The 14,983-nt window shown below is 32.9% G+C and overlaps 1 protein-coding gene across 21 annotated transcripts in view; it reads left to right on the top strand.

Annotated features, from left to right (window-relative positions):
- Positions 1-14,983, top strand: part of CEP290 (centrosomal protein 290) — a 93,073-nt gene that overhangs the window by 4,475 nt on the left and 73,615 nt on the right. For 20 of the 21 annotated variants that reach the window (XM_047429563.1, NM_025114.4, XM_011538763.4 and 17 more), the window contains exons 6-13: positions 828-971; positions 6,396-6,449; positions 7,049-7,069; positions 7,194-7,346; positions 7,738-7,920; positions 8,579-8,668; positions 11,176-11,298; positions 12,245-12,368. In XM_047429563.1, the coding sequence (XP_047285519.1) occupies positions 828-971; positions 6,396-6,449; positions 7,049-7,069; positions 7,194-7,346; positions 7,738-7,920; positions 8,579-8,668; positions 11,176-11,298; positions 12,245-12,368 (892 nt within the window). The remainder of the gene's footprint in view (positions 1-827; positions 972-6,395; positions 6,450-7,048; positions 7,070-7,193; positions 7,347-7,737; positions 7,921-8,578; positions 8,669-11,175; positions 11,299-12,244; positions 12,369-14,983) is intronic. The other variant, XM_017019983.3, reaches the window with a different exon arrangement.

Raw genomic sequence — 14,983 nt, 5'->3', positions numbered from 1 at the left:
TTTAGAGAGCACAATGGAATGCTTTTTGGAGGAGAGAAAGAGTAAGAACAATTTGGTTAAGGTAGAGGAATAACAGAACTATAAGGTGAAGAAATGAATGTGAGACACATTAGATGACCAAATGATTTGATGTTCTTGGCCATGACCTGAATTAACAAGACTGTGAGGTAAAATGGATTTAATCGGCTACAAATCTTAAGATAACCAAAACCTGAGCTGTTTAATATGGTAGCACTAGCACTAACCACTTGTAGCTATTTATATTTACATTGGTTAAAATTAAAATGAAAAATTTAGTTCTTCAGTTGCACTAGCCACACTTCAAATGCCCGAACATAGCTACATGTAGCGAGTGGCTATTGAACTGGACAGCACTGACAGCATGTCCATTATGCTAGAAAGTCCTATGGGACAGCACTGGTCTAAACAGTGCATGGTATGAGAGAAAGGGCAGGTTAAGGCACTCAGCTTCACTGACTGGGGTGGAGATTCTGATGGTTTGTACTCAGGTTCCAGATCCCTGAGGCTCAGGAACCTTTGCAGTTTAGTCTGGTTACCTGTGGCCCAGTGGTTACAACAGAATGATTAACAGTCAATTCTTTGCATCTCTGGGTGGCTCAGGAAAAATTTAAGGAGTTATTAGCTGTGAACTAACCTTAAGTAAGTTAAATTAAAAAAAAAAAAGTTCTTAAGCTAATATGATTTTAAATATCTGCACTGAAGTATAATGCAAATTTAAATTCAGCATAATTATTTGCTTGTTGTTGACTCATTTGAACCTCAAAATATAATGGGATTAATTTATACTTTGGGTTTATTACTTTAAGATGGCTCAGCAGTCTGCAGGTGGACGAGATACTCGGTTTTTACGTAATGAAATTTGCCAACTTGAAAAACAATTAGAACAAAAAGATAGAGAATTGGAGGACATGGAAAAGGAGTTGGAGAAAGAGAAGAAAGTTAATGAGCAAGTAAAGCACTTTTTTTTTCCATGAATCTTCACTGTTCAAGTTACCTGGCTTTTTATTATTATTGGTAACAATATCAATTTTTATATTGTATGTTATATTTGAAAAATGATGTACACTTATCTCTAAGGTTTTATATCACTGTTCATTTTGTCATCACCAATTTTAAAATATAATGGTACTTCTAGTGAATATGACTTGAAGATTAATTCTTTATATTTGGAAGTACATTTTTCTCAGGACATCAAACTTGTTACCTAAAATTAATGCTTTTGTCTGGAAGATTGGTATCAAGTAACTAATAGATTTTCATAAAGAAGTGATCTTTCTAGTGCCATAGTTTATTTTGGGTAAAAGTTATATTTGTTCATTTCAATGTATTTATATGATTAGTAGATTCGCAAATGAATCTTTCGATATATTCAATAATGGTTAATTAAATATCTTGTTTTTGGTTGTACCTTATTTTATGTGAGATATATATATATATGTATAGTTTTTGAAAAGTTGTGTTCATGTCAGCAGTTTATAAATCACATATTTAAAATAACATTTTTAATGCATAGTTTTTATTACCTCGTTATTCCTTGTTATAAACTAATAATTCTTGCAGTGTTCACTTGAATTTAGTTTTAGGAAAAAAGTTTTTTGCAGATCAACTTGTATTTCCTGGAAGAAAATTTCCTATTTTACCTCAGCTTCCTATTTAATGTATTATTTATTTATTTACTTAACATTTATTTGTTTTTTATTTCACCTGAACTGTTAGTAAACTTAGTAAAATTTGGTGCCTACATGTGGTAACTGTCCTGTCCCTTATACTCAGAAACGTTTTCCACCTTTGTGTCCTTTAGGTCATTGTTGTGTTATATTCCATTTATTTTATTTTGTCCATTGTTCTCTCAGAAATTGAGGGTCATACATTTTAAGAAAACAATGATATGCTATTTAAGAGAATGTATCATAAATTGATTTGTAAGGAAAAGTATCCCCATTCTTCATGTATGTATTTTACTCTAAAATGTTGAAGAATCATATAGAAGTTAGCTATGAAAACAATGTGGTAGAGAAAGTATGGATCGATGCCACTTAAATGTTAGGAAGAAGCTCTTAGAGCATTATCTGTTTAGCTAACTGCAAAACATAGCAGACATGTGGATTTTTTAATAGTCATCAAGGATCTAACTTATAATATACACTGGTAGAATTGCTTAGGGGGATGTCTGTGGTTTTCTGGACTTTTGTTCTTCTATATAGACCTGTATCAGTTGACTTATCATTCATACCACACACCCTTAGCTAATCAGAACTACCTTGTCCATTTATATCTTAGACTATTGTCTTTTTTCATAGTCACACACAGAGAAAACTTGAATATATGGCCTGTGTTCCTTTTTGGCTGCTCAATTCCTTGAGATGAAATATGGGTATGGGTTGCTTTGGCAATTACTTCTTTGCCGTTAACCAGTCATTCAGTTTTATTGAGTCTTTACAGCATACCAGAGGCTGCTAGTTACTAGTGATATAGTGGGCAACTATGTTCTGGTTCTCAAGAATATTCATAGTCAATAATAAGCATAACATAGTGATAATATGATACTTAGGGAGATACATAAGGTCATATTCTGGCATACTCTGGAGAGAGATACCGTAATCAGCCTTGAGGTGCAGGATGTGATCTGTAAACTGAGACCTGAAGTATAGTTAGACTGGTAAGAGGAATGAGGATATATATGGTGGTTAATAAAAGAACATTCTGGGTAGAAGATATAGCATTTGCTAAGACCTAGAGGTAAGAGATGTTATGGAGTATTTAGGAAACTACAGTTATTCATTTTGACTGAAATATAAGTGAAAATAGCTTTCATAGAGTCCTTACTATGTGCCAGGCACTTCATATGCATTAATTCATTATTGCTTATTTGATACTTGTCATATGAGATAGTTGTCATTTCTGCCATGATACAGATGAAGAAATGGAGACACAGAAAGAGTAATTGCCCATGGTTGCACAGCTTATAAATGGTAAAGGTAGGATTTGAAAACAGTCTTACTCAAGAGTCTGTGCTATCTTGCCTTCCCAGTTTTATTTTTTATGATCCTCTGGAGAGATAAGCAAGGGCCAGTTCCTAATGAATTTGGTTCTTTTCCTGAAAGGAGCCAGTGAAGAGTTTTGAGCACAGGATATCATGATCAGATCTATACTTTAAAAGTTTACTGTACTTTGTAGAGAGTGGATTGAAAAGGGCCAAGACTAGTAAGGAAACATTTGTGTTAATTCAGGGAAGTGCTAATGATGGCATTTGCCTGAGAAAGACAAGTGTGAGAGAAGTAGATGTAATTGGATGTGGTGAATGTAATTGGTTGTTGGAGGAGAGGGAGGATGGAGAGTCTGCCTAATTTTGTGGGTTGGGCCACTAAATAGGTAGATAGTGCCATTCATTAAGGAGGAACACAAGAGGAATTTGGAAAGCTTGAGATTATTTCAGTTTTGTAGATGTTGAGTTTGAGGTTCTTCTGGGCATATTCAAAAAGGGTATCTGTGGATATGGAATTCACAAGAGACCCTGTACAGATGATGAGGATTTATGAATCATCAATGTAGACATTATTGAAGCCAGAGAAGTGATTGTAAGGCACGTCTCTGAGAAATGTCTAATAAAGCAATGAAATAGGAAGAGTGCTTCAAGGAAAAGCTCAAGAAAGGAGAAACAGAGTGTGATGTTTGAGAAGACAAGGGAAAAAAACATTAATAGCATTAAATGCTTTAGCATTAAGTTCTTGGCTTCTCTTCTTGTAAAAATTTCCCAATTCAGAACACAGTGGGATTATTAACTTTCAATTGATAATAATAATGATAGGCAAACTTCTAAAATTTGTATTGTAGTTTGCATTTTATTATAAACTTTCTTTAAATTTTTATTTTGAAAAATGTCATATCTTCATAAAGATTGTAAGAAACACACTGTTGGTGTTAATGTAAATTAGTTCAACCATTGTGGGAGACAGTGTGGCAATTCCTCGAAGATCTAGAAGCAGAAATACCACTTGACCCAGCAATCCCATTACTGGGTATATACCCAAAAGAATATAAATCATTTTCTTATAAAGATACTTGCACACATATGTTCATTGCAGCACTATTCACAATAGCAAAGACATGGAATCAACCCAAATGCTCATCAATGATAGACTGGATAATGAAAATGTGGAACATATACATCATAGAATACTATGCAGCCATCAAAAGAGAATGAGAGGTCAAGCGTGGTGACTCATGCCTACAGTCCCAGCACTTTGGGAGGCCGAGGCAGGCAGATCACTTGAGGTCAGGAGTTCAAGACCAGCCTGGCCAGTATGGTGAAACCCCATCTCTACAAAAACAAAACAAAACAAACAAAAATTAACTGGTCATGGTACTGTATGCCTGCAGTCCCAGCTACTTGGGAGGCTGAGGCAGGAGAATGACTTGAACCCAGAAGGCAGAGGTTGCAGTGAGCTGAGATCGCACCACTGGACTCTAGCCTTAGCAACAAAACTAGAGTTTGTCTCAAAAAAAAAAAAAAAAAAAAACCGGAACAAGATCATGTCCTTTGCAGGGACATGGGATGGAGGTGGAAGCCATTATCCTCAGCAAACTCACACAGGAACAGAAAACCAAACACTGCATGTTCTCACTTATAAGTGGGAGCTGAACAATGAGAACACATGGACACATGGTGGGGAACAACACACACTGGGACCCGTCAAGGGGTCGGGGTGGGAGAACATCAGGAAGAATAGCTAATGGATGCTGGGCTTAATATCTAGGTTATGGGTTGATCTGTGCAGCAAGCCACCATTGTACACATTTACCTAAGTAACAAACCTGCACATCTTACACATGTACCCCAGAACTTAAAAGTTGATGGGAAAAAGAAAAACAATAACCACCCACATACCCTTCATATAGATTCACCAGTTCTTAATGTTGTGCCAACTTTGCTTTATCTTTTTGTCAGTATTTTTACACACACATGTATTTCTCTGTCTCTTGTTTGTTCAATCACATTTTTTGCTGAGTCATTTAAGAGCTAATTGCAGATATGATACTTTGCACTTAAATATTTCAGCTTGTCTGTTTGAAAAAGAAAGATGTTCTCCTACAATGAACACAATATAATTGTCATGCTCAGGAATTTTAATATTGATTCAACACCATTATCTAGTCCATAATGAGATTTCTTCTAATGGCCCAATAATATCCTTCAGTCTCCCCACCTCCAATATCCAAAGTTCTGTCAAGGATCACATACTACATTTGGTTCTTTATTATAGACTTTTTAAATATCGTTGTATACCATTGTGATTCTATCGTCTCCTTTAATAAAGAGGAGAACCAGAAAAATGAAAGGTCATAAGAGGAATGAGGTTTGGAGAATAGGTGAAAAAAGGCATCATAATGTTTATAATAATGTTTGCCTGTTCAGAGAAACAAGAATCACAGATAAAGTCACTTATATGTAGATAAGAGAATGCTGTATTACTTTTTGCTATTCTATTCACTGATCATTTTTCTAAGAACTCTGTATGCTTCTTGTTTAACTCTTATGTCAGCATGTATGAGAAAACTGAGTTAAAGAGATGTTAAGTAACTCATTCATGCTTTACTAGAAATTGGTTGATGAGGGACATAAACCTAGGCCGGTGTGATTTTAGATTGCTTCTTTTAACCATTGTGTTGTATTGCCTTATATTTCTAAGTAATTTATGTTCACTGAGAGCAAATAATAGTCTAGCTATGACTTAGAAAAGTAAAATAAAGATGTTGGGCAGAAAACCATTTTATTAGGGGTTTTTTTGGAGGAGCAGATTAATTTGTTTCTGTATTCTTTGGTTAGTTTGTGTGTGTGTTCTTTTTAATTCTTTAAAATGAAACTGTTTAATCCTTAAATCCTTAAGTTTTGAAAATTTTGGCCTATTATTTATGTGTTAGGTTGATATTAAATCCTTAATAGCTTTAACATTTTCTACTTTGTTAGAGAGGATTTAAAATTTAAGTAGATAAGCTGAATATCTGGCTTTATATTAAATTACTGCTGATGGCCAGGCACAGTGGCTCATGTCTGAAATCCTAGCACTTTGGGAGGTTGAGGCAGATGGATCACTTGAGGCCAGGAGTTCAAGACCAGCCTGGCTAACACAGTGAAACCCCGTCTCTACTAAAAATACAAAAATTAGCCAGTTATGGTAATGCATGCCAGTAATTCCAGCTACTCGGTAGGCTGAGGTGGGAGAATTGCTTGAACCGGGAGGCAGAGGTTGCAGTGAGCCGAGATCGCACCACTGTACTCCAGCCTAGGCGACAAAGACTTTGTCTCAAAAAAAAAAAAAATTACTGCTGAATTTTATCTTCTTCTTATTTATTTTTTTTTTTTACTATTTTAGTTGGCTCTTCGAAATGAGGAGGCAGAAAATGAAAACAGCAAATTAAGAAGAGAGGTAAAAAATTTTAGTAGTTGTGGTGGTTCAACAAAGGTACTTATTAAAATAAGTACCTAAGTTTACATAAATTTATATTTTAACCAGGACTGGAGTCTTCTAAGTAACTGATGTTTTCAGACTGATTTTATGGTATGACTTTGTCTCAGGGAAATAGAAAACAAAGCAAAATGTGAGGCCATTAAGTATTACATTCATCTCAGGTCTATGCGGGTAAATCTTTTTTTGTTGTTTTATAAGCCATTCTTTGCTAGTTTTCTAATTGAATAGATGACTGGATTTCTATTCTTATTTCTCTTACCCAGAATCCTTTAAAATTTTTTGTTACTTGTGGAATCTTATAAATTCTGATTATCATTTGGTTCTACTGAGCCAAATAATGTTTGTACATTGTTTATTCTGATAGAAGTTCTTAAGTTTCTAACATAATTGAAATATTATTTGTTTTGGTAGATAATTAGTATTCTTTCTTTGGTTATTCAAGATAATATGCATCATTTTCCCAAAATTTTTTTGTTTTCTTTAGTTTCTGATTATTATTTTTAATTATGTATTACCTTTCTCATTTCTAATTACCGTTTTCCTGTCCTTTTCTGTAGAACAAACGTCTAAAGAAAAAGGTGAGGCTTTAAGTGTGGTGAAATCTTGGGAATTTAAAATATGTTGTGAGAGCACTATTTAGAGGATATGATTTTGTTATTCTGAATAGTTTTGTAATTGAATGTTGTGTTTGGTTACCTTCAGAATGAACAACTTTGTCAGGATATTATTGACTACCAGAAACAAATAGATTCACAGAAAGAAACACTTTTATCAAGAAGAGGGGAAGACAGTGACTACCGATCACAGTTGTCTAAAAAAAACTATGAGCTTATCCAATATCTTGATGAAATTCAGGTAAAATGGCTAGAAGTCAATTCAGAGCAATGGTTCCTAAAAACTTTAATTTCATTACAATGTAAATATAATATTTAGCCCTACATGTAAATTCCCTGGTATAAATCTGTCACTATGTACTTGTAAAATGTGAAATAAATTACATCTTTGAAGTTGCAACTTTTTAGCCATTTTTATATTTGCCTGTCTTGGTCATTAAGAACAATTGAGGTCCTTATGTACTATTTTCTTGATTCAATTTGATTTAATTGGTCAATGCCAATTAGTAAAGGTCTATAAAGAATTCTCTTTTTTTCTAGAGGACACTTATGGCTGCGTTTAATTTTAATTTGGTTTAAATTTCAGTTTTTTTAAAATTACTTTTTAATTATAGTGTCTTTAACTTTTTTAGACTTTAACAGAAGCTAATGAGAAAATTGAAGTTCAGAATCAAGAAATGAGAAAAAATTTAGAAGAGTCTGTACAGGAAATGGAGAAGATGACTGATGAATATAATAGAATGAAAGCTATTGTGCATCAGACAGATAATGTAATAGATCAGTTAAAAAAAGAAAACGATCATTATCAACTTCAAGTAAGAATTACTTTTAGAATAACTTATTTATTCAGACTTCATATTATCTCATTACTATTTATTTGACACTAGAAAGTACTTTTTCTAGGATGTGAATTTTTGTCTGTCTTTTTAATAGTGTAATATCTTGTCATGTTGGTATATTTGTCCATATGTGTTTCTCCAATCACCTCACAAACACTAATTTTTGCAATTTAGGATATATAAATGATACTTGAATGAATGTGTAGATAGCAGTCATTATGGGGTTTTCTATAAAAGACTACTGAAAATCCTGTGGATCATAACATTTCATTTTATCTTAAAATAAATACATTATAAATGTATTAGAAACCAATACATTGTTCAGTATTTATGTGGATTAAATTTGTTTAAAAGGTAGAATAATGTTTAAAAATAAAATTTTCTAGTAATGAAAGATAATTATGCAATTATAAGATGCAGAAACTATTAAATGTCACCTATAATTCCAGGATGACTTCAATGATAAATACACATATGTAATGTAATGTATCCGTATGTATGTGTATATAAGTATGAATACGTATGTGTGTGTATGTAGATATATTTATATATATAATGTATATGTAAATATGCACAGGTGTAAATATATGTTACATCAGTTTGCAACAACTCTTGAAATAACTTTGTCTTTTAGGTGCAGGAGCTTACAGATCTTCTGAAATCAAAAAATGAAGAAGATGATCCAATTATGGTAGCTGTCAATGCAAAAGTAGAAGAATGGAAGGTATTTTTTTTCAATTGACATAATAACTTTTTCTTTTTGTATTTTAGATTTAAATTTTAGTCTTATTTTTCTTTAAATGTCTTATACTGGTTTATAACACGTTTATTAGGGTTTTTAAACATAAGTTTATTTTATTTATTGGTTAGAAAAGCTCTAGAACTGTCCTTTTTGATCTCTAGCTAATTTGTTATTGAATGACCTCTTTCACATCAATGAGTTTAACTTTAAACTTTTTGATAGAAGTCTAACTCCAAAATATATTTGGCATCTAAAATATATAATTCGAAATATAATTTAAATTTTTTTACTTAACTCATAGTTACCTTATATACATTAGTTAAATAGTTGCAGGTTTAATTTTAGTTTTTCTAACTAAATGTCAGGTTCATCAGTGGGAATGGGAATAAGCAAAGGGATCAGAATAACTTGGGAAGCCTTTTCAAAATACACTTTTCTTCCTCACCACCACTCTCCAACCTTAACCAAATTGTCAGGCCTTACCATATTAGAAGCTGGGATTATGATGGTTGTATACTTGAAAAACATCAGAGATTATTCTGAATGAATAATTCTAATTTTAAAAACTATCACTTCTAGAGTCATTGCTTTCTAGTATGGTTCACATAAATCTTGTGGGCAGTTTGGAACTGGTTAGCATCTAGGGAGCTCAGATAACCTATATTTTAAACAAAAGCATTAGCAATGGAAATAAGGCCTATAGAATCAGTCATGTCTCCATAAACTTTATATAAAGGGCCAGACAGTGAATATTTTAGACCACCTGGTCTCTGCTATAACTAAACTCTGCTTATAGCATGAAAGCAGCCATTGACAATACGTAAATGAGTGAGCAAGGTGGTTTTCCGGTAAAATTTTATTTACAAAAGCAGATGGGAGGCCAGATTTGACCTTTGGGCCATAGTCTACCAACCCCTGGAAAAAACAGTTGTCTTTACCAGATTGAATGTTGGCAGGGTAAATGGTGACATGTTATATGTATTCTGTACTTTGTTTTGACTTAATACCATTTCATAATTATTTTATATCAGTACGTATAGTATTGCTGTTCTTTTTAAAGGCTATGTAATTTTTCTTTTTATACAGGTGTTAATTTGATAATTTGTGAAGTTTATGAAGTTTCCAATTTTGGGGTTGTAAACTGTTTTAATGAATATCCTTATATATGTTATTTTGCAAATGTACAAGTATATCTGTGGAATAAATTGCTGCAAGTGTTGTAATTGTCATGTATGTTGCAAATACATTCTAACAGTTTGTCACTTTTTTTGCTTTATGGCATTTTTTGCTGTGAAATATTTCTTTTTATGCTTAGTTAAATTTATTATTTTTTAATGACTTTTGACATTTGTTATAATGAGAAAGGCTTCTGAGTATAAACTTGTTTTCTCATCTTTTCTCCTAATATCTTGTTTTGTTTTTGTTTTTGTTTTTGTTTTTGAGACAGAGTCTCACTCAGTTGCTTAGGCTGGAGTGCAATGGTACAATCTCAGCTCACTGCAAATGCCACCTCCTGGGTTCAGGTGGTTCTTGTGCCTCAGCCTCCTGAGTAGCTGGGATTACAGGCATGTGCCGCCATGCGCAGCTAATTTTTGTAGTTTTAGTAGACATGGGGTCACACTGTGTTGGCCAGGCTGGTCTTGAACCCCTGGCCTCAAGTGATCCTCCTGCCTGGGCCTCCCAAAGTGCTGGAATTACAGGTGTGACTCTGCCTGGCCTTTTTTTACATTTAAATCTTCGAAACATATAATTCATTTTGATGTAAGGAGTATCATGTGGATTCAACAGAGCTACTCTGTTGTCCAAACATCTTTTATTGATTATTTCATCTTTTATTGAATTGATTGATCTATTTTCTAGCAGTGTATACTTGTTTTAATTTGTGTATGTTTTAATATCTAAAAACGTTATTATTTTTCTGCTTTTAGACTTCTTTATGAATATTTTTAATGTGAATTATAGAACTGGCTTGTCCAGTTCTTAAAAAATATCTTGTGGATTTTTATTGGGTATGTGTTAAAGTTATAAATTGTTTTATAGATTGATTTAGGATAAACCTTTTTATGTTATTTGGTCCTTCTAGCTAAAGAACACAAGATACCTTTTCTTTCATTCATTCAAGATATTTTATGCCTCTTGGTTGCATTTTAATGCATACTTCATAAAGATCAATTGTATAAAACTTTTCACAGTTGTATGGAAGTACTTCTTGTTTATAAATGAGTTTTGAAAGGTTGAAATATTTTTAAAGATTGAATTATAAAAAAAGAAAATTCGGTATATATTTTAAAATCATTTTCTATTTGAATTTCAGGTTGTATATACAAAAGGAACAGAGATTATGCCAGTAGTTGCTCATACTTTCTCATTTCAAATAATTTTTATTTTCTGTATCATAAATCTACTAACGGTGTTTATTATTTATGATAATGAAGAATGTTTTATTAACTTTCCTTTTGCATAACAGATTCTATTGTGTTTATTTCTAGCTAATTTTGTCTTCTAAAGATGATGAAATTATTGAGTATCAGCAAATGTTACATAACCTAAGGGAGAAACTTAAGAATGCTCAGCTTGATGCTGATAAAAGTAATGTTATGGCTCTACAGCAGGTAAAATCTTAACAGAATTTTGTTTATCAACCAGTTTTATTACAGTTGGAACTCTGAACGATGTCTTTTATTTATTATATCATCAGTGCCTAGTGTAGCGGCTGGTACTACCAAGTGTATAATAATGTCTTTTGAAATTTCTTCTACCACCTGGTCCCAATAAAAAATTAGAATTAAGTTTAGATCACGGATTAGACTTAGAACTAGAGTTACTGTGTTTATTTTTCTATGTTTATGTGGATAGTACACACATTGTTTTGGTTAGAAATTATTTAACAAGAAATGATTAAAAACTTTTAGAAATTTAAAATAATTTTATACTCTTTTAAGGTTTATTTTACTGTATCTTAGTCCTAACATACCCTATACAATGTGAAATAAGCTAAAAGCATGGTTATAATTTGACTGTGCTACCTATTTTATTTTTAGTGAAAATAACCCAAATAAAAGGAAGTAATACTTTTATTATTTGTGCTGTAGTTATAGTCCACAAGTAAGAAGATGATTTGAAAAGTGTATGCTGAATAAGAACAATTACAGGGGACAACATTTTTTAATAAAGTACGAAAGGGGAAAAAGCTAAGTTGAATAAAAGAGAAAGCACAGAGCAAAACAGAAACATACAAAATGGTAAAAAGGTGGAATTGAATGGAGGATGAGGAAAGTAACATATAAGGAAGTATAGAAGCCATAAACATTAGGGAGTTCTGGAAATCCTATTTTCCAGAGTGTTAGCCATTATATCCATCTTTCAGTATTGGAGTAACAGCAGTGTACCTATCATTGTGTATTACAGTTGAAGTGTACAAAATGGTAAAAGGCATACTTGTACCCACAAGAAAATATGTTCTACAGTCTTGTTGAAAAAAATCAGACGTACTTTTTTCCTTACCTTTTTAGGTTAATATTCATGAAGGGATATATATTGTTTTAAAATATTTTATAGGGTATACAGGAACGAGACAGTCAAATTAAGATGCTCACCGAACAAGTAGAACAATATACAAAAGAAATGGAAAAGAATACTTGTATTATTGAAGATTTGAAAAATGAGCTCCAAAGAAACAAAGGTATTTTTATAAATATATAGTTATTTTATATACAATTATGTTTTTAACGACTTTATTTTTATTAAAATAAAATGTCAAGTCAATATTGAGTTTTCTCCATTTGAATTTTATATTTTCAAAAAATTGTACAAGATATTTATTATTATACTTATATTACTAGTGCTTACATTTGTAAATGATGGATGCATTTTCTATTATTTTTCTCCTCTGGTGAAAATTACATTAACGTTTATTACCAGGTCACTGGTATGAAAGAAATGAAAAATTGTGATACAATTATTTTTATTTAACTTTTTATAATTAACAAAGAATGGAAGATAATAAAATTTTGACCAGTGTAACAGCATTGCAGATAGTTTTCAGAGGTAATTTCACATTAATCTTACCCAAATTAATGTTTCATCATATTCTCCTTACCCTGAGCCATATTACCTTTTTTAACACATCAAATTCTATGAATATAAGTTCTTACAATATCTGTGTTGTTATATTTCCATAGCACTACATACTATAGTTATGCCAGGGCACACTAGTGCGAACTGTTCATGGGAAATTCATGGACATGTTTATTATAATTGGTGACTATGTATATATGTATACACTACATTTATACACACGCGCATGGAATCACTATTTCTTCTTCATGTCATATATATATACATATATACACATATATATACATGTCATATGTGTGTGTGTATATATATATATTTGTATATATGACATGAAGAAGAAATAGTGATTCCGTGCACATATGTGTGTGTAAGTGTAGTGATGTGTTTGCAGGTACGGTTGTAATTTCAAAAATGAAGCAAAAGCCTTGCTCAGGAGATAATTGAACCAATACTTAAAGGAAGTAAAGGAGTGAAACATGCAGATGGCTCTAAGCAGTGGGAATAAGTTCAAAGGCAGTAAAGCAGGAGTGTACCAATCATGTCTGAGAACAACAAAGAAGTCTTTTTGGCTGGAGTAGAGTCAGCAAGTGAGGCAGTGATAAGACCAGAGAGGTAAACAGAGGCCATATCATATGGGGCCTTATAGTTCATTGTGCAGACTTGGCTTTTAAGTGAGAAGGGACACCGGGGAAAGTTTCTGAAGATAGAAATGATATAATTTGACTTAGGCTGTGTTTGCAGTAGACTGTAGGAGTGGTAAATAAGAATCAGGGAGACCTGTTAGAAGACTATTGCAATAATCTGGAGAAAAGTGATGGTGGTTTGGGGCATGGTGGTAGCAGTGGAGTTACTGGATGCAGCAGTTCTGGATGTATTTTGAAAGTGATAAAAATGGAATTTGCTAACAGATCAGATGTAGGATGTGAGAGAGAGAGAACTCTTGGTCTGAACCAAAAGTTTTGGTCATGGTGGGGTTGTGGGAAGAGCAGGTTGAGAGATAATCAGGTACTTAATTTTAGACATGTTAGGTTTGAGATGCTTATTAGACATTCAAGTGAAGGTGTTAAGTAGGCACTTGTATATAAAAGTTTAAGGTTTAGGACAACAATCTAGGCTAAAGATATGTTTGGTAACTGTCTCTGTAAAAGTAATTGAAATAATGAGGCTGGCTAAGATCACCAAGGGAGTAAATGTAGGTTAAGAAGAAAAATCTAAAGAGCTTCTACTTTAGCAGCTGGGGAGATAAAAAGGAGCTACCAAAGGAGACTGAAAAGGAAAGCCCAGAGAGCTAGGAGGAAAAGCAGGAGTATGGAGAGCCCTGAAAACCACATGAGGAATGTAACCAAGGAAGAAGAAACAACTGCTTTCAGAGCTGTGTTCATTGCTGCTGATAGGTCAAGATGATCACTAAAAGTTGACTATTGGACTTAGCAATGGTCATTTTTGGTTCAAGAGAAAATGGGTAGAGAGGAAATGTAATAAAGAAATATAGGAACCCTTTTCCAGGACTGTTTCTATAAAGAGAAGGAGAAAACAAGGTGGTAGCTTGAGGGGAAAGAGGGATTAAGAAAACATTTTTCTCTTTAAGATGGAAGAAATAACTCATGATTTTAGGTTAATAGGAGAGCTCCATTAAAGAAGAAACATTAATGAATCAATGAAGTGGAGAGAGAGAACTTCTGGAACAATAATATTTTTAAGAATGCAATGGGATGGGATCCTAGTGTGCCAGTGAAGAGGTTGGCCTTAACTAGGAACACAGAGTTCATCCATAATTGTAGAAAAGAAGGTAGAGTGTATAGATATCGATGTAGGTGGCTTGGTAGACATCCTGGTAATGGGAATTTGTGGAAGTTCTAAACTGGTTGCTGCTTTTTTCTCAGTGAACAAGGGAGCAAGGTTCTTAGCTGAAGGTGAGGATAGGAGAAGATGTTTCATAAGTTTGAGGAGAAAGAAGAGAAGTGAAAGTATAAAATGGTCATCTGAAAGATTGAAGACGTGGAGAATGTGGTATGACTGTTGAGTAACTTCAAGAGCCCACGATATATATATGTATTTCTATTTATGTGTTTATTATATTTGTATCAGAACACTTTGAAAGTAGTTTAAACTGCTTTAAAAGGATGACTAATAGTATGGATTGTGCGTATTCTAATTACTAGGAGAAAAAGTGGCAATTGATCTCTGCTGTCAAATAAGGAAAAGGACTTATCTGATAAC

This window comes from Homo sapiens, chromosome 12, assembly GCF_000001405.40.
Source record: "Homo sapiens chromosome 12, GRCh38.p14 Primary Assembly".
Taxonomy (NCBI): Eukaryota; Metazoa; Chordata; class Mammalia; order Primates; family Hominidae; genus Homo; species Homo sapiens.
Note: the sequence above shows the minus strand (reverse complement) of the source record. Positions and strands in the feature narration are given on the sequence as shown.